Source organism: Homo sapiens, chromosome 22 (assembly GCF_000001405.40).
Source record: "Homo sapiens chromosome 22, GRCh38.p14 Primary Assembly".
NCBI classification, from domain to species: domain Eukaryota; kingdom Metazoa; phylum Chordata; class Mammalia; order Primates; family Hominidae; genus Homo; species Homo sapiens.
In genome coordinates this window covers 43,002,561-43,028,491 of record NC_000022.11, presented here as the reverse complement: position 1 = coordinate 43,028,491, position 25,931 = coordinate 43,002,561, and the positions used below count along the sequence as shown (strand labels likewise).

Sequence of the window (25,931 nt, the reverse complement as noted above, 5' to 3'; positions counted from 1 at the left end):
CCAAGGGAGGGTGAGCTTGGGACTAGCAGAACCCTGGGCTGGAAGAAGGCTGAGTCACAGCCATAAGGTCAGGGGTGTGTCGTGGTGACAGGACATCCACTTCCAGCCTGGAGGGTGCCATGTCTCACATTTGGCACATTTGGGCAAGTGAGCCCAAGCAGAAAGGCTTTGGCAAAGAAAGGAGACAGGAGGGCAGCTGGAAAATTTTGACTAACGGCTGTCAAGGAATCCCTTCATCGTGAGAGTCTTTGGAGTATCAGCCCCCAATCTATACCTGGCCCGGCCCATCACTCAGCCTGGAGTGGCCTTCCCAGCTACAGGCACTGAACCTTCAGGCATCCCCGTGCTCCTCACCATCTTGCCCCAGGGCCACAGCTCATGCCATACCTGTTCCCGGTATGTGGGTCCCCTCCCCATTCCCTCACCTGCTGAACTCCTGCTCATTCCTGAGACCCAGTTAAAACACATTTCTGACCAGGCGCGGTGGCTCACGCCTGTAATCCCAGCACTTTGGGAGGCCAAGGCAGGCGAATCACGAGGTCAGGAGATCGAGATCATCCTGGCTAACACGGCGAAACCCCGTGTCTACTAAAAATACAACAAAATTAGCTGGGCGTGGTGGCGGGCGCCCGTAATCCCAGCTACTTGGGAGGCTGAGGCAGGAGAATGGCGTGAACCCGGGAGGCGGAGCCTGCAATGAGCCGAGATTGTGCCACTAGCCTGGCAACAGAGCGAGACTCCATCTCAAAAAAAAAAAAACATTTCCCTGAGGCTTTCAGCCATCTTCTGATGTAGCCCCTGCCACTGTCCTCTGCCTGCCCTTGACATTTCAGGCTTTGGATAGCACCCAGGCTGGATAGGCCAGCCTGCCCAACATGGTGAAACTCTGTCTCTACAAAAAATACAAAAATTAGCCCGATGTGGCGGTGCGTGCCTGTAGTCCCAGCTACTTGAGGGGCTTGGGGAGGGAGGATTGCTTTAGTCCAGGGGTTCCAGGCTGCAGTGAGCCAAGATCGCACCCCTGCACTCCAGCCTGGGTGATAGAGCAAGACCCTGTCTCAAAAAAAGAAAAGAACTATCAAGCTGTGAAAAGACATGGAGGAGGCAGGGTGCTGTGGCTAAAGCCTGTAATCCTGGCACTTTGGGAGGGCGAGGCAAGCTGATCATTTGAGGCCAGGGGTTCGAGACCAGCCTGGCCAACATGGTAAAACACCATCTCTACTAAAAATACAAAAACTAGGCCAGGTGTGGTGGCTCACACCTGTAATCCCAGCACTTTGGGAGGCAGAGGCAGGCCAATCATTTGAGGTCAGGGGTTTGAGACCAGCCTGGCCAACATGGTAAAACCCCATACTAAAAATACAAAAATTAGGCCGGGCGCCGTGGTTCACACCTGTAATCCCAGCACTTTGGGAGGCCGAGGTGGGTGAATCACCTGAGGTCAGGAGTTTGAGACCAGCCTGGCCAACATGGCGAAAACCTGTCTCTACAAAAAGTATAAAAATGGGCCGGGCGTGGTGGTGGGTGCCTGTAATCCCAGCTACTCAGGAGGCTGAGGCAGGAGAATTGCTTGAACCCAGGAGGCGGAGGTTGCAGTGAGTTGAGATGGTGCCACTGCACTCCAGCCTGGGCGATAGAGCGAGACTCAGTCTCAAAAAGAAAAGAAAACATATGGAGGAAACTTAAATGCATATCACCAAATGAAAGAAGCAAGCTGAAAAGCTACGAATACTATGATTCCAACTCTGTGACATTTTGGAAAAGGCAAAACTACGGAGACAGTAAAAAGATCGGTGGTTGCCAGGGACTTGGGAGTGAAGACGGAGAGGAGAAATCATGAGGCACAGGGAACTTTTAGGGTAGTTAAACTATGTATGATGTAGTTATGCGTGGGTCAAAACTCACAAACTATACAACACAAACAATGAACCCTAATGTAAACGGTGGACTTGAATTCATAATAATGTATCAATATTGGCTCGTCAATTGTAAAGATACCACCCTAATACAGTATATAAAGAATAAGAGGTGGCTGGGTGTGGTCGCTCACGCCTGTAATCCCGGCACTTCCGGAGGCCGAGGTGGGCGGATCATTTGAGGTCAGGAGTTCGAGACTAGCCTGGCCAACATGGTGAAACATCCCCTCTCCACTAAAAATACAAAAAGTAGCCGGGTGCCATGGTGCATGCCTGTAATCACAGCTACTCGGGAGCCGAGGCAGGGGAATCACTTGAACTTGGAAGGTGGAGTTTGCAGTGAGCCGAGATCGTGCCACTGCACTCCAGCCTGGGCAACAGAGTGAGACTCCATCTCAAAAAAAAAAAAGGGGCTGGGCATGGTGGCTCACCCTTGTAATCCCAGCACTTTGGGAGGCTGAGGCAGGCGGATCACAAGGTCAGGAGATCGAGACCACGGTGAAACCCCGTCTCTACTGAAAATACAAAAAAAAATTAGCCGGGCCTGGTGGCGGGCACCTGTAGTCCCAGCTACTCGGAGAGGCTGAGGCAGGAGAATGGCGTGAACCCGGGAGGCGGAGGTTGCAGTGAGCTGAGATCGCGCCACTGAACTCCAGCCTGGGCGACAGAGGGAGACTCCGTCTCAAAAAAAAAAAAAAAAAAAAAAAAAGCTACCTAACTGCAGTTTGACAAAGAGAGCAGGTCATGGGGTGCCCGTGCTCCTCAGAAAGGGGTGCTGTGTTTAGGGATCTCCAGGAAGGAGCACCGTCTGCCAGAGTGGGCATGCTGGCAGGTGGTGGAAGCTGCAGGAACCGAAACACAGAGACGGAGAGGGCATGGGGGCTCAATGGGCAAGGGCATCACAGAGCAAGCCCTGGAAACACGCTGCTGACATCCAGCCTGGCTCCAAGGCCAGTGCTCAGGGGAGTGAGGAGGGCGTGGCTTTGCAGCCACACGAGACCTACAAAACCTTTACCTCTTTGAGTCTCAGTTTCCCTAACTGCAAAGTGGGGAGATTGTGAGGAAACCTGAGGTGCCGTGTATAAAACACTGAGCATGTGGCTGGCCACCGTGGAGGGAATTATTTGGGTGGCAGTCAGTGTGACCCTCCCTGCATGCCCAGCACAGGGTCTGCCCCCATAGGCAATTAACTAACCCACCAGCTGTGCAAATGAGTGGAGGGTGGCTGTGTCATAGGCCTGGTCCTAGCCTGGCCGCCCACTGTCTGGGCACACAGCAGGAATGCCGTGACCTGTAATTAACCTAGGCCAGGCTTGGCAGGCAGGCAGGCTCTCCCCGGTGCCCACATGATACTGCCATCAGCCTTAATGAGTGCACGTGCTGCAATCTGAAACCTGAGGCAGGGGCTGGAACCAGTTGCACAGAGAATAGAATTGTCACAACAGGAAGGGTGTGTTCAGAGCCTGCTGGAGGAGCGGCAGGAGGGGGCCTGGGCCTGCGCTTCCGCACCTCATGCCACCCAGAGGCTGCCAGGACCCCGATGCCTAGAGAATGGCTGCTGGCTGCTGGGAGAGTGCCCAGGGCTGGGTACTTGATTCAGGCCCAAAGTACTGATTTCAGGTACTTTGGGAGGCCGAGGCAGGCAGATCACGAGGTCAGGAGATTGAGACCATCCTGGCTAACACGGTGAAACCCCGTCTCTACTAAAAAAAATACAAAAAATTAGCCGAACATGGTGGCGGGTGCCTGTAGTCCCAGCTACTCGGGAGGCAGAGGCAGGAGAATGGCGTGAACCCGGGAGGCGGAGCTTGCAGTGAGCCGAGATTGCGCCACTGCACTCCAGCCTGGGCGACAGAGTAGGACTCTGTCTCAAAAAAAAAAAAAAAGAGGTTGTTTTCCCACAGCCTTCAGGAGCTTGTGCTCCAGCCCTTTGCTCCCAGTGTCCCCAGCACCTTTCCTTCCACTGTGCCCTGCTTATTTTCAGGACCTGCTCAAACTCCTCCCAGAAGCCTTCCAGGGCCCGCCCTGTGCGGCTCCAGTCCCTCTAGAACACTGCTTATGACCTCTCCTCTGGCCCCCCATCTAGCAGGAGTTGCTTCAAGGTGGGCAGTATTTTTCATTCATGCCCAGCATGGTAGCCCGCATCATGTGCCCACTGAATTAAATAGAGGGAGAAATGGGGTTGGTAAAGAATACAGGAGCAGAACCGGGCATGGTGGCTCAGCCTGTAATTCCAGCACTTTGGGAGGCTGAAGCGGGCAGATCACTTGAGGTCAGGAGATTGAGACCAGCCTGGCCAACATGGTGAAACCCCCTCTCTACCAAAAATATAAAAAATGAGCCGGGCATGGTGGCAGGCACCTGTAATCCCAGCTACCCAGGAGGCTGAAGCAGGAGGGAGGTTGCAGTGAGCTGAGATTGTGCCACTGCACTCCAGCCTGGGTGACAGAGACTCTGTCTCAAAAAAAAAAAAAAAAAAAAAAAAAAAAAGAATACTGGAGCAGGAGCCAGAAGGCCTGAGTTTGATTTGAGAGGGGTCTCTGACTCCTAATGGCTGGCAGACCTCGGGCCACTCGCCTGACTTCCCTGGGCCTCAGCTTCCTTCGCCTTAGAAGAGGCTAGGACTCACCTTTGGGGGTCTTCTGGCTTAGATGTTCTGTGGTCCCAAATGCTCCACAGGCTGCCCCCTGCCCTGTCTCCCACCTGCCCACTCCCTGCCCCATACTGAGCTGTGAGGTGAAGCCACCCCCCAGGCCTGTTCACCTTCTGACTGCCCACGTGGTCGGCTCTCCATCCTTCATGCACCTGCGGGTGAAAGGGAAGATTCCTTCCTCATACACTTCCAGCATCTGCCTCGTGCTGCGCACAGCTCTGGGCCAGATGACTTACAACCATCAGTCACCCATGCCAGCTTGGACCTGCCATCTGTGGCCCAGACTCAGAGAGAAGAGAACTTGATGCAGAGTTGGCCTCACCCACCCCCTGCCTCCAGAGGGGCTGCCTGGATTGGAGTGTGGGTTCCCATGGGCCTCAGACTTGGTTGGAGGCTCAGCAGAAGAAGGGGGGACAGGGAGACAGGTGGGGGTGGGAATGGAGGCTGGGAGGTGCAGAACGCTGTGGGAGTGGAATGCAGGCAGCAGGTGCCACCCCGCAGGATGGGGAGATGGGGCCTCATTCTTCTGTGAATGATAACGCCGGTGGACTGGGTGCTAGCTGAAGCCGAAAGTCAGCTCCCCAGAGACATGTCCATTCCTGGTAGGCAGCACCCCTTGGCTCCAACTCCCCTTGGGGCAGGGAGTGTGGGTGAGAGGGAGCTGGGGCCTGCCACACACCTCAGCGGCTTGCTCTCCTCTTTCACAGACTAGGAGGCGGCTCTGGGTTAGGGCCATGACAGCCCGGGCCGGGAACCAGCATTGGTGGAGCTGGTAACTTACTGTGTGCCGTGACGGGCGTGCGCACTGAGCACTTTCCCCATGTGACTGCAGTGAGTTCCAGCAGCACCCCATGAAGCAGGGGTGAGCTATCGCTCCCTGTCCAGATGAGGACATTGAGGCTGAGAAGTGAGTGGCTTGCCCAAAGCCGTGTGGCTTATAAAGGATGTGTGTGTGTGTGTGTGTGTGTGTGGCAGGGGCGTGGGGGCGGTGGGATTCCAATTCCTCTCTGTCTTTGTCCCAGGATGACGTGAGGGGATGTCCTTTAAGCTCTTGGGCACAGGTTTATGGAACAACTTGCTGTTTGTGTGTGGTTTTTTTTCTTTCTTTCTTTCTTTTTCTTTTCTTTTTTTTTTTTTTTGAGATGCAGTTTTGCTGTTGTCACCCAGGCTGGAGTGCAGTGGCGCGATCTCGGCTCACTGCAACCTCTGCCTCCCGAGTAGCTGGGATTATAGGCACGCACCACCATGCCCAGCTAATTTTTTTGTATTTTTAGTAGAGGTGCGGCTTCACCATGTTGGCAAGGCTGGTCTCGAACTCCTGACCTCGTGATCCACCTGCCTTGGCCTCCAAAAGTGATGGAATTACAGGCGTGAGTTTGTTTTTGAGATGGAGTCTCGCTCTGCCCCAAAGCTGAAGTGGAATGGTGCAATCTCAGCTCACTGCATCACTGCAACCTCCGCCTCCCGGGTTCAAGTGATTCTCGTGCCTCAGCCAGGATTACAGGCGTGCGTCACCATGCCCAGCTAATTTTTGTGTTTTTAGTAGAGACATAGTTTCACCATGTTGGCCAGGCTGGTCTTTTTTTTTTTTTTTTTTTTGAGACTGAGTCTCATTCTGTCGCCCAGGCTGGAGTGCAGTGGCGCGATCTCGACTCACTGCAAGCTCCGCCTCCCGGGTTCACGCCATTCTTCTGCCTCAGCCTCCCGAGTAGCTGGGACCACAGGCGCCTGCCATGACGCCTGGCTAATTTTTTGTATTTGTAGTGGAGACAGGGTTTCACCGTGTTAGCCAGGATGGTCTCAATCTCCTGACCTCGTGATCCGCCCGCCTTGGCCTCCCAAAGTGCTGGGATTACAGGCATGAGCCACCGTGCCCCGCCTCAAGGCTGGTCTTGAACTTCTGACCTCAAGTGATCCGCCCTCCTAGGCCTCCCAAAGTGCTGGGATTATAGGCATGAGCCACTGTGCCTGGCAGGTATTTTATTTTTATTGGTATACAATTTATAATGTATGTATTGGTGTACAGGTTATTTTACAAGTTCAAGTTAACAACATTTATTTGTCATAGGGCTGGGCGCCGTGGCTTATGTCTGTAATCTCAGTACCTAGCACTTTTTTTTTTTGGCAGAATCTTGCTCTGTCGCCCAGGCTAGAGTGCAGTGGCATGATCTCAGCTCACTGCAACCTCCACCTCCTGGGTTTAAGTGATTCTCATTCCTCAGCCTCCCAAGTGGCTGGGACTACAGGCGCCCACCACCACACCCGGCTAAAATTTGTATTTTTAGTACAGATGCAGTTTTGCCATATTGTCCAGGCTTGTCTCGAACTCCTGGCCTCAAGTGATCTGCCTGCCTCGGCCTCCCAGAGTGCTGAGGTTACAGGCATGAGCCACTGCGTTTGGCCAATCTCAGCACTTTCAAAAGCTGATGTGGGAGGATCGCTTAAGACCAGGAGTTCAAGATCAGTCTGGGCAACGTAGTGAGACCCCATCTCTGCAAAAAATATTTAAACCATTAGCCAGGTGTGGTGGGACATGCCTGTAGTCCCAGCTATTTGGGAGGCTGAGGCTGCAGTGAGGTATGATCACACCATTGCACTGCAGTCTGGGTGACAAAGCAAGACCCTCTCTCAAAAGAAAAAGAAAAAAAAATAAATAGAATGTAAGGCACATATGTAATCTTGTACCCACATTTAAAAAGTATAAAAATTCTCGGCATGGTAGTGCCTGCCTATAGCACCAGCTACTCGGGAGGGCTGAAGTGGGAGGATCACTTGAGCCTAGGAGTTTGAATCCAGCCTGGGCTAACATAGCAAGACCCTGTCTCCAAAAAGTATAAAGAAACGGTAAAATTATTTTAAAAATTAGGAATGCAAAAGGTTTATGGAAAAAAAATAAAAAAAGAGAAAATATTTGTTATAAAGTTAATCAGGAAGGGCAATGTTACTTTTTTGATGCATTTACATTTTGAGACTGCTGCAATGTTTTAAAAAGTAGCCTCATTCACGCCTGTAATCCCAGCACTTTGGGAAGCTGAGGCAGGCGGATCACGAGGTCAGGAGATCGAGACAATCCTGGCTAACACACGGTGAAACCCCGTCTCTACTAAAAAATATAAAAAATTAGCCAGGCGTGGTGGCAGGTGCCTGTAGTCCCAGCTACTCGGGAGGCTGAGGCAGGAGAGTCGCTGGAACCTGAGAGGCGGAGCTTGCAGTGAGCCGAGATCGCGCCACTGCACTCCAGCCTGGGCAACACAGCGAGACTCCGTCTCAAAAAAAAAAAAAAAAAAAGTAGCCTCAGTATCTCATTTTACCTTACACTAAGGCAATCTGGATTCACAGCAGTTGCATCCAATAACTTTAAAAAAAATTAGTTTTACAATTGCAGGATGCCTTTTAATTTATCTAATTAGGAGCTGGCAAAAGGTAAGATGATTGGCTGGATTCAGAATGGAATCTGTTGGCTTCTGGGACCTCCTCATCCTCCTGCATAGCAAGGACTCAAGGAGGGACTATTGCCGGAGTTTATATCTTCCTCCCAGAGTAGAAAATACTTTAAAATGTATCACATAAAGCCTGGGCATTGTTAGGTTTTCATTCCAAATTTTAAAACAGTTACTTTGAAATTGTTGACACTGGCCCACTTTGGTACAAATGGTAACACTGTAAACCCGAATTCTCCAAATGAGCTTTTCCACTTAGTAAAATAAGATAGAAGTAGAACCAACTGAAGAACTTGCAAAAAAATTGAGTGATCCCATGGCCGGGCGTGGTGGCTCACGCCTGGAATCCCAGCACTTTGGGAGGCCGAGGTGGGCAGATCATGAGGTCAGGAGATGGAGATCATCCTGGCTAACACGGTGAAACCCCGTCTCTACTAAAAAAATACAAAAAATTAGCTGGGCGCAGTGGCACGCGCTTGTAGTCCCAGCTACTCGGGAGGCTGAGGCAGGAGAATGGCGTGAACCCGGGAGGCAGAGCTTGCAGTGAGCCGAGATAGCGCCACTGCACTCCAGCCTCGGCGACTGAGTGAGACTCCGTCTCAAAAAAAAAAAAAAAAAAAAAAGAATGGATTGATCCCAATTCAGGGCACCTGGGCAGTGCCCAGTGCCCACTTGGGAAGCCCTGTTTGTATGCTGCTCCATACCTACCTTTGTCTGGGAGCAGGCTCCAGCCGGGCATGGCAGGAGTGGAACATTGTACTTGCTGGTACAATTTGACGTGAGCAGACATGTGCAGCCAGAATGGAACAAAACAAAACAAAGCCAGGGAGATTGGGGTAATTGCCTCCTAATCAATGACACATTTACAAAGAATTCAGATCTTTACACGTACTTGGCAGGTGAGCATGTCATTCAGAGGTATGTTCAGAAATGTGTTCCTCCAGCCGCCATAGTTAGTGCTTTGATATGGCCAAAATATTAACAGTTGGTGCACAGCACGTGTTCTTAGGTTTGTTTTCCATTTATTTATTTATTTATTTATTTATTTATTTATTTATTTATTTTTGAGACAGGGTCCTGCTCTGTTGCCCAGGCTGGAGTGCAGTGGTGCAATCTTGGTTCACTGCAGCCTCAATCTCCTGGGCTCAAGTGATCCTCCCACCTCAGCCTCCTGAGTACCTGGGACTACAGGCCTGCACCACCACGTCTGTCTAATTTTTTTTTTTTTTTTTTTTTTTTTTGAGACCAGGATCTCATGATGTTGCCCAGACTGGTCTCCAACTCTTGGACTCAAGTGATGCTCCCGCCTTGGCCTCCCAAAGTACTGGGATTTTAGGCGTGAGCCACCACGCCCAGGCTTTTCTTTTAGACACGATTAAAAATTTAAAAAAGTGAATATACCCTGAAGCACTTTTACAAAATCAGGGGTCCTTGAACACACTGAACAATGACCTGTGCCAGGCCCCATGCTGAATATTGCAGAGCGAACTCACAAATCCTCACAGATTCTCTAAGCTAACAATCACTAGGTTTTGTGATTATCCCCGTTTTACAGTAGGGAAAACCAAGGGCTGGAGTAGTGAAGTCACTTGCCAGGGCCGCAGAGCTCCTTGCCGCTCGGCTGCCTTACTGCCTTGTTTCCCCTGGCTTCTCTTTGTGCCTGCAATGCAGCCAAGTGGAACCCTCCTCTCTTCCTGGACAGGAGGAGTTCTTGCCTCCTGATCTTTGCTCTCTGTAATCTTCCACTCATTTTGGCTCAGGTAAACAGCACTGTTTTCAATACCACTGCACCCTCTTCTGTTCTAAACTCTATGTCCTTGCCAGATCTTTCCAGGAACATCAGCAGGACCCAGGTCCACCCCGAGCCACCTTCCCTGCCTGGCACGTTCTAAATATTGGAATTATTGAGTGAGTGAATGTCTGTAACTGATTTTGATTTTTTTTCTTGAAAGACATGTATCACTGTACAATCCATAAATCACTGTACTTATCACACTGAAAATACACGTATCACTGTATTTTCAGCAATACAACTATATCTGGATGTTTTAAATTTTTTGAGAATATGATATTCTCTGTGCAAGTATGTTTTAGCCCAGACTGTCTGTTTATCCAGGCTGCTTAGTGGGAAATGGTTAATAAAGGACTAAACTAAAGCCGGTCAGTCTCAGTCCCAGGCACTCTGTGGCAATGGTCACATTTTGGGGGAAGGAAGGAGCAGCTGACAAGGCATGACCACATGTCCACCGTTCAGACACAGCATTCACAGCCGTGTGCCCGGAACAGCTCTCCATGCTTTGACTCCTTACCACAGCCCTGTTGCTCTTCCTAATCCCCATATCACGGAGGGGACACAGAGGTGCAGAGAGCTGCAGTGACTGGCCCAAGGCCCCTTGGCTGAAAAGGGGTGGAGGCAGGATTGGGCTCCAGGCCTGTTCAAATATGACTGAAGGAGGAGGCTGGATGGAATGTTGTGAAATGTTTGTGGGGAACAAAGTTGGGGTGCTCACATGTGGCAACGGGGAGCTATCTTTGGAAAAATACCCTGATAAGCTGCCAGGACAGAAGGTATAAGGCCCAAAGAGTTCAGGCAATGATGTCAAGCTGCTAGGTGCAAGACAAGGAAAGGAATTTTGTGTTTGTCCTGAGAAGGAGGAGGAGAGAAAAGAAGAGGGGGAGAGTGCAGAAAACCAAAGGCATGTGAAGTGGCCAGAGTGTGGCATGGGTCACGTGACCAGGTGGTGACTCCTGGGGCCAGGCAGCCAAAAAGGCTCACGAGGCATCCTGTCTTGTTGCTGGGCAGTGCCAGGCTTGATGCCTCTCTCCAGCTTCCAGTCTTCAGGAACCCCTGCTAGACTCAGCAGTGCTTGGAGTGCAGGGGGATTCGTGCAACTGGATAAGGGGATGATGGTGAGACCAGTGAGCATGCGGTGTGTGGAAGAGCAGGAGGCCTGATGACAGACGCTTGTTCAGAAACCTTGGGAGAGGCTGCGTACAGTGGCTCGTGCGTGTAATCCCAGCACTTTGGGAGGATGAGGCAGGAGGATTGCTTGAGCCCAGGAGTTCAAGACGAGCCTGGGCAACATGGCGAGATTCTGTCTCTACAAAGATTTTAAAAAATAATTAACTGGGCATGGTGGTGCGCACCAGTGGTCGCAGCTACTTGGGAGGCTGAGGCAGGAGGATGGCTTGAGCCTAGGAGGTCAAGGCTGCAGTGAGCCATCATTGTGCCACTGCATTCCAGCCTGGGCATCAGAGTGAGACCCTGTCTCAAACAAACCAAAACAAAAACCCCCAAAAATTTGGGAGAGGCTCTGTATTTCTTTTTTTTTTTGAGGCGGAGTCTCACTCTGTTGCCCGGGCTGGAGTGCAGTGGCGCGATATCAGCTCACTGCAAGCTCCGCCTCCCGGGTTCACGCCATTCTCCTGCCTCAGCCTCCCGAGTAGCTGGGACCACAGGCGACCGCCACCACGCCTGGCTAATTTTTTGTATTTTTAGTAGAGACAGGGTTTCACCATGTTAGCCAGGATGGTCTTGATCTCCTGACCTCGTGATCCGCCCGTCTCGGCCTCCCAAAGTGCTAGGATTACAGGCGTGAGCCACAGCGCCCGACAAGGCTCTATATTTTTATAGGGCATGGAATTGCGATGTAAGCGGAACTTACCCAGATATGAAAGTGCTGAGAGCTGATGGCTGAGTTCTATCTATACAAATGGTCCACAGGTATTGTGGGTGGCAAAGAGGTCCCTGTTGGCTCAGTCCTGGAGAATGAGGAGAGACTTCTTGGCAGTGGTTTGTCCTGGCACTGTGTGTTGGTTTTTTTTTTTTTTTTTTGAGATGGAGTCTCGCACTGTCGCCAGGGCTGGAGTACAGTGGCGTGATCTTGGCTCACTGCAACCTCCGCCTCCCAGGTTCAAGTGATTCTCCTGCCTCAGACTCCCAAGTAGCTGGGATTACAGGTGCATGCCACCACACCCAGCTAATTTTTTGTATTTTTAGCAGAGACAGGCTTTCACTGTGTTGGCCAGGCTGGTCTCAAACTCCTGACCTTGTGATCTGCCCGCCTCGGCCTCCCAGAGTACTGGGATTCCAGGCGTGAGCCACCGTGCCTAGCCGGTTCTTTTGTTTCTTTCTCAATTATTGTCATAAGGACAATGCCACAGAGCAGTCTAGAAAGTAAACAACCACTAGATTTCTTTGTGGACTCTTTTCTCATACCTATCTATATGTAGCAGCAATTCTACAGTTTCTACCATTTTGTATCTAGCTTTTTCTTTTATTATTATTTTCTTTTATTTTACTTTTTAGAGAACTGGGTCTTGCTATGTGGCCCAGGTTGGCCTCAAACTCCTGGGCTGAAGCGATTCTCCTGCCTCGGCGTCCCAAGAAGCTGGGATTCCAGGTGCATGTCACCATGCCTGGCTCTATCTGGCTTTTTCTTTTAACGTTTTAGTTTAAGCATTTTCCCATAGTGCTACACAGTCATCATTATTATTCTCAAGGGTTGGGCTGACCTGGGTTTCTAATCCTGGCTCTGCCATTTACTCTCTTTACTCCACATCACCCCCAGCAAGTTACCTGGCTCACCCCTCACCTGGGGTTCCTCTCACCATCCTCTCCACCTGGATGACATGAAGCAGTGCTTGGACAGCGCGTAGGACAGTGCTCAGGAAGTGCTCTCCATTTTCCTTCAAGAGTATTTCCCTCTGCAGAACGGGGCTAATACCCTATCATGCAAGGTGATTGTGAGAATTGGAAAGAATGCGTGTGCATTGCCTGGTGCCTTGCCATCCAAATATATTTTATTAGAGAGAGCAGCAACATACGCCCCCCCAACCCCCCGTTTAAACTAAGCGGGTCCACGTGGAATGACGCTTTTGGCGCAAGTCGGAGGAGCTCCTAACGACATTAGCTTCTTTGAGTCCCTTGGGAGAGGAAACTTTCTGAAAGACTGTAGGATTACCTTCCCTGAACTTCCGGTCAGGTGCGGTGCTGCCCTGCCGCGCCCTCTTACCCCTGGATGCCGACGAAACCGCAAAACTCCAGCCCCGGGAAGCGCGTCTCAAGGACCACCACCAGCGAGCGGCTTTGGGAGAGTAATCTGCGCCACCCTCGCAGCCCATTAAATAGGCACTCCCCGTTTGATTGACAGGAGAAGTCACCAATGCGCGTCCTGGGGCTTTCCCTCGTCCTCACGCGGGGTGAGCCGCCTCTCTACTCATCTGGCCCAATCGGGGGCGCCGGGGAGGCTGTGGGGCGGGGCTCGGTGTCCGGTAGCCAATGGACAGAGCCCAGCGGGAGCGGCGGGGGCGGTGCGGTCGCGGCTGGCGGCAGAAGCGGCCGCAGGGGTCTGGGCAGGGCTGGGCAGTGCTGCCGGAGCAAAAGCGGTAGCGGGAGCCCGGCCGGAGCTGGGTCTGGAGACGCCGTGGCAGCCTGAACGGAGTGTGCGACGGATTGGGAGGTGAGTGGCCGCCGAGGTCAGGGGTCGCCGCGACGGTTGGGGCGCCGCGGGCGGGACGCGGGGGCGCTGGTCCGCGGCCGGGCCCGCGCCCCGTCAGGGCCGCCGCGCCGAGCTCCGCGCCCTGAGGGAAGCGGGTCGGGCCGCGCGGAACTTCCTGTCTCTGTGGGAGGGGGCGAGTGCTCGGGGCCCCGGGGGGCGCCTGGAGAAGACATCTTGGGGAGGACGAGGGCGAGTGGGGTCGGCTCGGGGAAGGGGCGGGGGCCCATGGGGGCGGCGCTGTGGGAGCGGGGCAGTTTTCCGGGGTCCGGGGCCTGCTGGAGAGGGAAGTGCAGGAGCAGGGCCGTCGGGGGTTAAGAGCTGCTAATGAGTGGGGGAGGTGTAGACAGCTGCAGAAGGGGGAGCTGGGGCGACTTTTGGAGGGACGCGATTTAGGAGAAAGCTGGGAATCCGAGACGTGCAGAGGTTAGGCGAGGGTGCCGGAGCAACGCTGGAGGGAAGGCGTGGCTGGGACGCGCCGGTGAGAGGGCAGGGCTTAGTCCTGGGGTGGCCTGGGGGGCGACGCAGGACACACGCGGGTGCGCTGATTTCGGGCGCTTTGATGAGCGGCCTCCATTTCCTTCCTTCCCACCCTCCGTGTCCCGGGGGGGGGGGGGTGGTGTGTGTGTGTCTGTGTGTGTGTGTGTGTGTGTGTGTGTGTGTAGGGCGGGGGGAGCAAAGCCCTTACCGCAGCACGTCCTAGGGCTGGGGCCAAGCAGGAGAGGCCGGGGAGGTTTGCCCTTGTGACCCTCCTCAGAGTTTCCCCAGACTCACTGAATCAGAAATCCGAACTCCTTACTCCTCTAGGGCTTTCAAGCCTGGCCAGGCATCCTGAGAGGTCCGCAATTGGAGAGGTAGTGATTGCTGCTGCTGTTGAATTTCATTGATTCATTGGGTTTCGGCTCCATCAGAGAAGGTCGATTTTCTTTTCAGAAGGAGTTGGTTGGTCAGGGGAGCAAGCTGTGCTATTGCTTTGGGGCCCACACGGCTGCAGCCTTTGACGTATAACAGGACCTGGGGATGCCACTCTTGGCTTGGGTGCCTGAGGGAAGGTGGCCTTTGGCTGGGTGTGTGCACCATTCCTGGATCCTGTCTTCTCTTTTTCCCTCCGCCTGTCCGGTGTTTTTGTGGTTAAGGGGGTAGGCTGCTCAGAGTCTCCAGGGCTACTTGGTACACTGTTTACCAAATACTGCCTGGCTGTCTTGATGAAAATCAGGAAACCAGCTCAAAGAGTTTGAACCTCAGCTGCAGATGGTGAGCTCACACCTTCTTCCTTCCCTCCTTTTCGGTGCCTTCCTCTGCGGTTATTCCCGTGTGCTGAAGTTCTGTTTTAACCCTCCTGGGATTGCCAGGTTGGAGCCCAGGGCAAGGGAACCGACCAGGCAGGCAGTGTTGAATGCCAGCCCTCCTGTTCTTGCCCAAGATGTTGTCGTTCCACTTGATTCATGAGCCTGCCTGCATGCAGCCTCCTCATGGAGACATTGAAGCTGTGCCAGTGCAACTTGGATCTCTCTTGATTCACCTGGAAAACTTTCACTTGTGTGGACTTAAACTTAATTCTAGAGTTTGGTAGCCTCTTTGGTGAGGTTATGCTGGTTGAGATATGAGGCCACTACATCAAAAACATTGGTGTGTTTTTCTTTTGACAATAGACTTAAAGCTTTAAAGAAAGTGGCCATTAGGCTGGTGATATTTATTACTTGGGAAAGTAACATAACACAGAGAAGTAGATGGGTGATTAGGTCTGCACTCTTTATCCACTTTTTGGGAGAAGAATAACAACTCATTTGAATGGAAATGGTATCCTTAGCTCGTGCTGCTTTGGGACTTGGAACTTTATCACTTTTAATCTCAAATGTATATGAAGTTGTGATGTGATATTTAAATAATCTAGGCTGGGCGGGGTGGCTCACGCCTGGGATCCCAGCACTTGGGAAGGCCGAGGCGGGCAGATCACCTGAGGTCAGAACTTAGAGACCAGCCTGGCTAACATGGTGAAACCCCGTCTCTACTAAAGATACAAAAATTAAGGCCGGGCGTGGTGGCTCACGCCTGTAATCTCCAGCACTTTGGGAGGCAGAGGCGGGCGGATCACCAGAGGTCGGGAGTTCGAGACCAGCTTGACCAACATGGAGAAACCCCATGTCTACTAAAAATACAAAATTAGCTGGGTGTGGTGGTGCTCATACCTGTAATCCCAGCTACTTGGGAGGCTGAGGAAGGAGAATTGCTTGAACCCAGGAGGCGGAGGTTGCGGTGAGCCAAGATCCGGCCGTTGCACTCCAGCCTAGGCAACAAGAGCAAAACTCCTGTTTCAAAAAAAAAAAAAAATTAGTCTGGCGTAGTGGTGCACACGTGTAATCTCAGCCTCAGCTACTTGGGAGGCTGTGGCATGATAATTGCTTGAACCTGGGAGATGGAAGTTGCAGTGCACTGAGATCACACCACTGCACTCTAGCCTGGGTGACAGAGTGAGACTCTGTTTAAAAATAAATAAATCTAAAAGTATGCATATATTTAAAAAAAATTCTGGATTTCCACCAACATAGCATTCTGCAGGGAGATAACATGAACTTTTCCCTAATCCTGGATACCCATCCACATCTCTGATGGCCAGGCATTTCTGGAGTGGGAGCAGAGGGGCATTTGTCCTTGCTTTTTTTTTTTTTTTTTTTTTGAGAGAGAGTCTCTGCCCAGGTTCAAATGATTCCTCTGCCTCAGCCTCCTCAGTAGTTGGGATTACAGGCGCCTGCCACCTTGCCTGGCTAGTTTTTGTATGTTTGTATGTATGTATGTATGTATGTATGTATGTATGTATGTATGTATGTATTTATTTATTTTGAGACAGAGTCTCGCTCTGTCGCCCGGGCTGGAGGCAGTGGTGCGATCTCAGCTCACTGTAACCTCTGCCTCCCAGGTTCAAGTGATTCCCCTGCCTCAGCCTCCTGAGTAACTGGGACTACAGGCATCCACCACCACGCCTGGCTAATTTTTGTATTTATAGTAGAGACGGGATTTCACCGTGTTGGCCAGTATGGTCTCGATTTCCTGACCTTGTGATCCACCTGCCTTGGCCTCCCAAAGTGCTGGGATTACAGGCACCTGCCACCTTGCCTGGCTAGTTTTTGTATTTTTAATAGAGATGGGGTTTTACCATGTTGGCCAGGCTGATCTGGAACTCCTGACCTCAGGTGATCTGCCCACCTCAGCTTCCCAAAGTGCTGGGATTACAGGCGCCTGCCACCTTGCCTGGTTAGTTTTTGTATTTTTAATAGAGATGGGGTTTCACAGTGTTGGCCAGGCTGATCTGGAACTCCTGACCTCCAGTGATCTGCCCGCCTCGGCCTCGCAGATGTCCTTGCCTTTTGTTTCTTCTCTATACCTTGAAAGTCTGTGCTGTGTTAAGGGCGTCATGCTCAGGCTTACTGATTCTGAAGGGGTTATCAGTGGATGATTCCGGATGTTGTGGAATATCAAACAGATCGAAAAGTTTCTTTAATAATAGTGATGGCACCTTGTGTTTAGAGTTCGCAGTGGCATTTACCAGATGCTCTCTGGCCACCTTCATGTGAACCTCCCAGCTGACTCGGGCCTGCTTTATCTGCCATCAGATTGTAATGGCAGCTTTGTGGAGGCCGCCCTGTAGATTATGCGATTAATGACCACATTCATGTGAGCAATAGTGCTGGCTTAGTTTTTTTCCAGTTAGGTTGTTTGGAATGGTAGCTGCATACCTGAGGGCAGTGCAGCAATGCCTTAGTTACGAAGGCAGTTTGCATTCCACAGGTAGAGTCTTTCCTTATGGCCAGGGCACTGATCCCTCACATACCAGAAAGTATCATTCGTCCCTGCCCCAGACAGACTCCAGATGCGTCCCAGTGGTGGTTCTTGGGATAGTTTTGTAGGAATTTCTGCAGAATTTTAGTGTTCAGATGAGTATGCTCTGTCTGTGGACTGGAGACAGGCTTCAAAGAATTCTCAAATTATTCTGCACAATACATCATTTTTTGGTATCTCTGCAGTTCCAAAGGTAACTACTTGAGGGACAGTGGCCACCAAAGAGCACAAGTTTTGACATTTTGATGAAAAGCACACATAAAACAAATAAAAACCACCTTTCCTTAAGTTACCTATTGAATTGTGCTTATTCCCATAAATGCATGTTCATCTGTTTGCTTAATAAAACTTAAAGCACCATAGAGTCTTTCTTGTTTCCTAGAATAAGGTCTTTTTTCTTTTCCTTTCTTGTCTTTTTTTGTTGTTGTTGTTGTTGAGACGGAGTCTCGCTTTGTTGCCCAGGCTGGAAGTGCCCTGTGGTGTGATCTTGGCTCACTGCAGGCTGCGCCTCCCGAGTTCATGCCATTCTCCTGCCTCAGCCTCCCAAGTAGCTGGGACTACAGGCGCCCGCCGCCACACTTGGCTAATGTTTTGTATTTTTAGTAGAGACGGGGTTTCACTATGTTAGCCAGGATGGTCTTGATCTCCTGACCTTCGTGATCTGCCCGCCTCTGCCTCCCAAAGTGCTGGGATTACAGGCGTGAGCCACCGTGCCTGGCCGGTCTTTTTTATTTTCAATTAAAAAAAAATATATATATATATGTATTTTTAAACAGAGATGGGATTCCGCCATGTTTGCCAGGCTGGTCTCAAACCCCTGGCCTCAAGTGATCCTCCCATCTCGGGTTCCCAAAGTGCTAGGATTACAGGTGTGAGCTACCACACCTGGCCTATTTTCAATCCTAAAAAAATCATTTGCGTGTTTCTTGATTTTAGGCACTGAACTAGACGGAGATGAGAATATAGAAATAATAAAATGGGGCTGGGCGCTGTGGCTCACACCTGTAATCCCAGCACTATGGGAAGTAAAGGAGCAGATCACTTCAGGTCAGGAGTTCGAGACCAGCCTGGCCAACATGGTGAAACCCCATCTCTGCTGAAAATACAAAAATTAGTCGGGTATGGTGGCGTGCGCCTATAATCTCAGCTACTCGGGAGGCTGAGGCAGGAGAATCACTAGAACCCGGGAGGCAGAGGCTGCAGTGAGCCGAGATTGTGCCACTGCACTCCAGCCTTGGGTGACAGAGCAAGACTCTGTCTCAAAAAAAAAAAAAAAAAAAAATAGAAAAAATAAAATGATGTCTCAACTATCAAAGACCTCGCAAGAAGCCTTAAAAATGATAAATAAGGCTAGAGATTTTGCTGTACCTTTGGAAAGTGCATGTGTGGTGGTTTATAGTACATATTCTGTGGCCAGATAAAATTTATATGATTATTTTTCCTCCCAAGAATATGAGATGACAGAGGGGGAGGAGCGTGGATGGAGACTAGGAGCCTTGGGCTCTTGTCCAGCCTTTCCCTGACCAACCCTGAGGTCTGGGACAATCAGCACAGAACTCCAGGTCTCAGTTTTCATATTTGTAAAATGAAGGACTTAGAGGACCTTCACCTTTTGCAAATCTGATAGCAACTGTGACCCCTTCCCACGAAGGGGGACAGCTTCATAGGCGTGGACCCAGATTAAGAACTGGATTATTCCATCTCTAAGCTCCCTCTCACCTGTGATATTCTGTAATCCTATTTTCCTGGTCATCTTTGAGCTAATAATAATGATGACTTGTATTTATAGAAGATGCACATTCCAAAGCACTTTCACCTCTCATTCTTTTGTCCTCAAAACATTTCTGAGTGGTACAGGTGGCAATAGATATTCCTTCCTGTGATGAAGAAAGTGGGCCAGGCTTGGTCAGCACGTTGATGGAGCAAACAGCCAGAGGCCGTCCTGGGACCAGAACTGGGGCTCCTGGTTGCCATCCTGGGGCTTTTCCATTAGGTTTTGCTTCCTTGGTGGTTGTCATTATGAGTTATGTTTGGCAGTTCAAATATCCCAGAATGTGTCACTCGTAGAGGAAACTATTTGTTCATCTGCCGGAAAGGACTGTTTTTCTCTCTGAATTTGGATCACTAAACACCTTTTCTGTATGTGAAAAGGCTACTTATTTGTTTTTGTTATTTTTTCTTGCCACATTTTTCATAGGGACAGTTTGTAGGGCTTGAGTGTTTTGAGCAGACTTATTTAATGCTTATTGATGAAAGAGTACATTAAAATGACTACTTCTCAGTTGCTTAGCACTTGAGAAAGTTGTGAAATAAATGTTAAGTAAAAATTCCAAATGTCTCACTTGTCCTATCCAAGTATGTCCTCACAGATGAGATGCTTTCTGCAGTCTAGGAGGCCCCTCCCTGGGCCCAGAGCCGCTGGGTGGGTTTGAAAGTTGGGTGTGGATTGTGCCAGTGGCCAGGACTGTCCAACAGTGGCTGCTTGTGGCCTTCTGGCTAGATTCCTAACATTTTATGGACTAATTTTTTTGGTTTATTGAAAGAGTACACATTCTGAGCTATATAAAGAGCTCATATATGTAAAAGAACACTGAACTTAGGCCGGGCGTGGTGGCTAACGCCTGTAATTCCAGCACTTTGGGAAGCTGAGGTGGGCAGATCACAAGGTCAGGAGTTTGAGACCAGCCTGGCCAATATGGTGAAACCCCATCTCTACTAAAAATATAAAAACTAGCTGGTCATGGTGGTGCGTGCCTGTAATCCCAGCTACTGGGGAGGCTGAGGCAGGCGAATGGCTTGAACCCAGGAGGCGGAGGTTGCAGTGAGCCGAGATTGTGCCACTGCACTCCAGCCTGGGCGACAGAGTGAGACTCTGTCTCAAAAAAAAAAGAAGACCACTGAATTTTAGAGCCTCACAGATGTTAGGTGGCTTATTTCTGATGAAAATAATCATAATAAAGATGTTTTTTATTTTTATTTTTTAAAAGAATACTTCTGATGTATTTCTGAAAGCTGTTTTGAATACTCAGACATGGAAGCTGATAGTACTGCACACAGCAGGCATCACTCAATGTGGAGTGTGTGTGGAGAATCCACCTGTCTTCCTGTTATGTCATGTGTGATGTGACTATTGATAGAGTTGCAGCCAGCTGGGGCACTCCATTAAGCTGCCCGTGGAAGTACCTGCTTTTTATTTTCATTTCACTCCCTGGACTGAGAGTGTTTGGAGGATATCTCAGTGGCTCATGTGGAGGGAGCATCTGTGGGTGGAAGGCAACAGGCAGGGTGAGTCAGAGGTAGTGGTCCTGGCCACTGCATGCCTGGTGCCCCTGGCTCTGCCTGCAGCTCTGGAATCCTGAGATAAAGATGATGGCTGCTCTGTAAAGGCAGCTCAGTATAGGCAGCAGGCCTGGAAACTTCTCTTTTCATTGTGGCGGTACCAGATAGTAGTGTGTACAAAGTACTGCACGACAGAGGAGGGCGGGTCTGACTGTCCTCAGGACACTACAGAGAGCTGACCTTCAGGGAAGTGACTTGGGAGGGATTGTGCCAGAGCCACAGGTGCTCTCCAGGTGGGGCTGACGTGAAGGACCATTCTGGGCAGAGCTACAGAGCTCTGAAGAACAAGGAGTGGCTGGGAGAGAGGGGTCACGCCTGTAATCCCAACACTTTGGGAAGCTGAGGTGGGCGGATCACTTGAGGCCAGGAGTTTGAGACCAGCCTGGCCAACATAGCAAAACCCTGTCTCTACTAAAAGTACAAAAATTAGCTGGGCGTGGTGGTTTGTGACTGTGAACCCAGGTACTCGGGAGGCTGAGGCAGGAGAATCGCTTGAACCTGGGGGCAGAGATTGCAGTGAGCCAGGATAGTGCTACTTCATTCCAGCCTGGGTGACAGAGCGAGACTGTCTCAAAAAAAAAAAAAAAAAGAACAAGAGGTGTGTGTGAGAGGGGCTGCTAGGGGCAGGGAAGGCTCCAGGTTATGACCTGCCTTATATTCTCCTGGAGGACAGTTCACTGGGGAGCAGTTTCTGGGTATTTAAAATACCGGGATGAAGATCTTCAGAGAAGCAAGATGTCAGTTGAGAAGTCAGGGATGCAGATGGGGGAGGGGTGATTCAGGTGACTCAATTTCACAAAGGTCACCTCTGTCTCTGGGAGTCTCAAGGATTGCCATCTGTGTTCCTAGGAAGCAGTGGCTCCACTCTAATGAGAAGGGCTTTTCGAGTGGGAATGGCCTCAGCCTTGACTCATTCTCTTAACCTGCATTTACGTGTTTGGTTGAGAATGCAGTAGCTGTGTGGGTTCTGCTTCTCTTTCTTTTTTCTTTTTTGAGACGGAATTTTGCTCTTGTCGCCCAGGCTGGAGTACAATGGTGCGATTTCGGCTCACTGCACCCTCCACCTCCCAGGTTCCAGTGAGTCTCCTGCCTCAGCCTCCCAAGTAGCTGGGATTATAGGCATGCGCCATCATGCCGGGCTAATTTTTGTATTTTTGGTAGAGATGGGGTTTTACCATGTTGGCCAGGCTGGTCTCAAACTCCTGACCTCAAACGGCCCGCCTGCCTCTGCCTCCCAAAGTGCTGGGATTTCAGGCATGAGCCACCGTGCCTGGCTGTTTCTCTTTCCATATGGTTTATGCTTACAGATCCTTGAGGTTAATATGTCACTTTCACTGTTAGTTCCTACAGAAGAAAGGTAATTTTGCAATAAGGTTTTGGAGGTTAGGAACATGGTTTTGGAGTCATACAGCCCTTGGGTGTGGGTTCGAGCTCCATCACTAGGTGACTGTGCGGCTTTTGGCCAAATGTTTCAATGTCTCCAAAACTTGAGTGTCTTAGTCAGTTGGGGCTGCTATAACAAAGATGCGGTGGCTTGTAAACAACAGAAATTTCCTTCTTACAGTTCTGTAGGCTGCAAGTCTGAGATCAGGGTACCAGCATGGTTGGGTTCTGAGGAGGGTCCTTTTTCATGTTGCGGATTGCTGACTTCTTATAGCTTCACATGACAGAAAGAAGGCGAGAGAGCTCTCAGGTACTTTTTATAAAGGCATGAGTGGCTGAGTGCAGTGGCTTATGCCTGTAATCTCAACACTTTTGGAGGCTGAGGCAGGAGGATCACTTGATGCCAGGAGTTCATGGCCAGCCTGGGTAACATAGTGAGACCCTATCTCAACAAAAACTAAAAAAAAAAAATTGTAAGGACACTAGTCCCATTCATGAGGGCCCTGCCTAATTAGCTTCCAAAGGCCCTACTTCCTAATGCCATCAAACTGAGGGGTAGAATTTCAACATATGAATTTTGAGGGGATCCATACATGCAGTCCTTTGCACCAGGATACTGAGAGCCCTTCCTCATAGGATTTTGGCGGGGCAGCATGAGGTGATGGACCCCAGGAGCCCAGCATGTGTGCCTGGTCACAGTGCTCATTCAGTCACTCTCCTATCAGTCTACGTAAGTGAATTTGCCAGCAAACTATACCTTTAAAGTGCCCAAAGTGATTTTATCCAGTTCTATTTAAAAATCCTTCCAGAACTTTTTGGACCTTTCCTTGGTGACTCGGGGTCACGGGTGTAGTCGCAGGTCATTGGTGTGGGTGAGGCCTCCTGCCCTGGCCCTGCATGGACTCCCCTCATATCCTGGCACTTACAGGGCCTGTCTTTCTCCCCACCACCTTTTGTAAGCTGCTGTTGGCACCTGGCCCTTTTGTTGGGGTAAGGGCCTGATGATGGTCATATCCTCCCTGGGTTTTGAGGGCAGCCTTGCCATGCAGAGAGGCCTTGCTCTCTTCTGGGTTGGTAATTCTCTGCCTGAGTTTAATGTGATGGATTCTAGAAAGCCTGACCCTGGGGTGAAGGGATGTTGCTTGACTACACGTAGTGACTCAGGATTGGAAGGGAGTACTGGTAATGATAGCTTATCCCTAGGTGATGGGAAATAGGACTTAGAAAGCAAATGATAAAGGTGTGAGCACTGCTCACCTGTGTGAAATTGTATTAAGATAACACGCAGCAGTGATAGTTAAGGCTTTAGAATTATAGGAAGTTTCTCCTTGTTTTCCACACAGTACCATTGCCCTTTTACTTTTAGATTAATGTTTAAGTAATAACTTTGTAATTAAAATAAGTATAAATAAAAAGAGCTTGGTTGTCTAGGCATTTGCATTTTACCAAGAAGCTTTCCATAGCCCTCATTTTGTTTTCAGGACAGCCTTGTTGATTTGTTTCCCTTTTCATTGTTTAGAGGAGAAAGAGAGTCAGAGCTAAAGGGGTGAGTGGTTTTGCCTGAGGCCACCTGCCAGGACCCCATATGGGCCTCTGAGCCCAAGCCCAGAGCGCCCAGGGAGGCCTGTGACGGGGCCTCTGCCTGGACCTGCAGGGTGGTCTTTAGATAGGATCAACTGTGTATTCTGAAGTTTCCTATTGAATGAAATGAAATCTTCTTAATGTAAAGTGATACCCAAACCGTAGTTTGTGAGCATTTTCATGTTTTAAACTGCATTTGTCTTTCATTATATTAAATTATGTTGTCGCCAACCGAGCGTGCCAAGATCATGAATTGTGGTCTTCAGAGGAACCACAGAGCAGGCAGTGCTCCCTGTACAGACGTCCAAGCCCGCTATTAGTGGGTTCTGTAGCTGTCTGATTGGCTGGAGCTGGCTGCCTGCTCGCCACTTAGCTCGCACGTGGTGATGCTTTAATTAAGCAATTGCGACCTTTGCTCCTGCAAATGTGTCATCAGATAAGGAGACTGGGCATGTGCCACCAAGGAGGATGTGCGTGGGGGGTGCAGAGTCAGTGGTGAGGGGCTGTCTGCACAGGCCCCCATGTTCTGAAGTTTCTGAGGGACCATTCAAGAAGCTTTACATTCCTGCCCATTTAATTCTTGCAACCAGATAGTGTTCTCTCCACTTGATCCATCAGTAAACCTAAGCTCAGAGAGATTCAGTGGCCTTCAGAGGGTCACCATCAGAGCTGGTGCTCTGCCTACCGAAGCCCACACTCATTTCACCTCCTCTGGCTGGCTGGAATAAGTAAGTTGTGAATCACTCTCAGATGTGAACATCTTTAAAAGATAATTAATCTTTCTCCCCCACCTCTGAGAAACATAGACATGAGGGAGATTATGTGTGTCCTTTGCTTAAGACGGCATCTATGTCTGTAACTAACTTGGTTTCAATAATCTGAAAGTTTACAACCATTTACACAGCAGGGAGATAAGGGCACAAAAGGGAGAGCTGCTGGGGTGCGGTCAAGGCCGTGGGTGACTCGCTGGTACACCCACCCCATGATGCATCCCACGTGGGACAGGAGGAAGATTCCAGAGGCCCTGGCTTAGGAGTGCCTCATCTTCGGCAGATGCATTTTAAAAGGCATCTTATGCTGTTAAAGAGCAGGTAGACAAGGGAGAAGAAATTGTGTTTCTGTAGAGGACTGCACTTTGTAAAATTGCGAAAGGTCTTCACATTTTGTCAACGTTGTGATATCACATAAGAGCATTTGCTCAGGTATATTAGAGCAGATATTTGTTTTGTTTTGTTTTATTTTGAGACAGAGTCTTGCTCTGTCGCCCAGGCTGGAGTGCAGTGGCGCGATCTCGGCTCACTGCAAGCTCCGCCTCCTGGGTTCACACCATTCTCCTGCCTCAGCCTCCCAAGTAGCTGGGACTACAGGTGCCCGCCACCACGCCCAGCTAATTTTTTGTATTTTTAGTAGAGACGGGGTTTCACCGTGTTAGCCAGGATGGTCTCTATCTCCTGACGTGATCCGCCTGCCTTGGCCTCCCGAAGTGCTGGGATTACAGGCGTGAGCCACCGCGCCCAGCCGATATTTGTTTTTATGCTTGGGATAATCATCACTTTTGTGTCAAATGACTTCTTTTTTGCTTTCTTTAAATCTTTTAAAAATTGAAGGTTCAACATAGAAAACAATGTTCTGAGTAAAAAACTCTTTGTAGTTTACCTTCCACGCACAAAGTGGTTTTTGTGTATCTTGATCAAGTAACCTATTCCCTGCCAACTTTGTACCAAGCTTCAGAAGAGGCAAGAGAGGTACGTTGTCTCTGTCCTGCCTCAAGGCAACACTTCGAGGTTGTTAGTTTGAATGTGAGGAAGCTGTAGGTAGTGAGATCAGGTGCCTAGTTCAAGGCCATCCAGTTTGTAGATGGGAGAGATCTGGAGCTTGAACTGACCTCGCTGTTTCCTTTTCAATAACTGACATTGTTATAATTGTATTATTCAGATTCACTTAAATATTTTCTCAAGTATTTTCCATGTTTTACCTTCATCTTCAAAAAGATTATTAATGGTTATATTATCCTGTTGACGTAATGAGATTAAAACATTCCCTAGTGCTGGACATTTTAGGTTATTTCCACTTTTTTGCTAATGTAGATGAATTTGCAGTTTATAATTTCATCCTTTTTCATCTGTGTAATTAGTTCCTGGGGATAAATTCCCGAGAATAGAAATCTTGTATTAAAGGGTATGAACACCTTAAGAGTGTTTTGAAAGCCTGTCTTGCTGCTTGTAAGTGTATTTTTCTGATTTTTTGGGTGAAAAAATGGGGATTCTTTCTCTTTAAAGTGCCT

The 25,931-nt window shown here is 49.8% G+C and overlaps 1 protein-coding gene across 4 annotated transcripts in view, besides 8 other annotated features; it reads left to right on the top strand.

Moving 5' to 3' along the window:
* Nucleotides 452-952: an enhancer, noted in NCBI's record as "H3K4me1 hESC enhancer chr22:43423546-43424046 (GRCh37/hg19 assembly coordinates)". NCBI's record gives its function as "activates a minimal SCP1, AML or CMV promoter by ChIP-STARR-seq in naive H9 embryonic stem cells {active_cell/tissue: H9 hESC(naive)}" and the evidence as "EXISTENCE:reporter gene assay evidence [ECO:0000049][PMID:30033119]".
* Nucleotides 12,856-13,055: an enhancer, noted in NCBI's record as "active region_19182". NCBI's record gives its function as "activates an Ori minimal core promoter by ATAC-STARR-seq in GM12878 lymphoblastoid cells {active_cell/tissue: GM12878}" and the evidence as "EXISTENCE:reporter gene assay evidence [ECO:0000049][PMID:35858748]".
* Nucleotides 13,038-13,741: an enhancer, noted in NCBI's record as "H3K27ac hESC enhancer chr22:43410757-43411460 (GRCh37/hg19 assembly coordinates)". NCBI's record gives its function as "activates a minimal SCP1, AML or CMV promoter by ChIP-STARR-seq in naive H9 embryonic stem cells {active_cell/tissue: H9 hESC(naive)}" and the evidence as "EXISTENCE:reporter gene assay evidence [ECO:0000049][PMID:30033119]".
* Nucleotides 13,176-13,365: a silencer, noted in NCBI's record as "silent region_13850". NCBI's record gives its function as "represses an Ori minimal core promoter by ATAC-STARR-seq in GM12878 lymphoblastoid cells {active_cell/tissue: GM12878}" and the evidence as "EXISTENCE:reporter gene assay evidence [ECO:0000049][PMID:35858748]".
* Nucleotides 13,343-25,931, top strand: part of PACSIN2 (protein kinase C and casein kinase substrate in neurons 2) — a 145,384-nt gene continuing 132,795 nt past the window's right edge. For all 4 annotated transcript variants that reach the window (NM_001349974.2, NM_001184970.3, NM_001349971.2 and 1 more), the window contains exon 1: nucleotides 13,343-13,471. The gene's annotated coding sequence lies outside the window, so the exon portion shown is untranslated. The remainder of the gene's footprint in view (nucleotides 13,472-25,931) is intronic.
* Nucleotides 13,376-13,425: a silencer, noted in NCBI's record as "silent region_13849". NCBI's record gives its function as "represses an Ori minimal core promoter by ATAC-STARR-seq in GM12878 lymphoblastoid cells {active_cell/tissue: GM12878}" and the evidence as "EXISTENCE:reporter gene assay evidence [ECO:0000049][PMID:35858748]".
* Nucleotides 13,546-13,615: a silencer, noted in NCBI's record as "silent region_13848". NCBI's record gives its function as "represses an Ori minimal core promoter by ATAC-STARR-seq in GM12878 lymphoblastoid cells {active_cell/tissue: GM12878}" and the evidence as "EXISTENCE:reporter gene assay evidence [ECO:0000049][PMID:35858748]".
* Nucleotides 20,768-20,837: an enhancer, noted in NCBI's record as "active region_19181". NCBI's record gives its function as "activates an Ori minimal core promoter by ATAC-STARR-seq in GM12878 lymphoblastoid cells {active_cell/tissue: GM12878}" and the evidence as "EXISTENCE:reporter gene assay evidence [ECO:0000049][PMID:35858748]".
* Nucleotides 23,952-24,051: a silencer, noted in NCBI's record as "silent region_13847". NCBI's record gives its function as "represses an Ori minimal core promoter by ATAC-STARR-seq in GM12878 lymphoblastoid cells {active_cell/tissue: GM12878}" and the evidence as "EXISTENCE:reporter gene assay evidence [ECO:0000049][PMID:35858748]".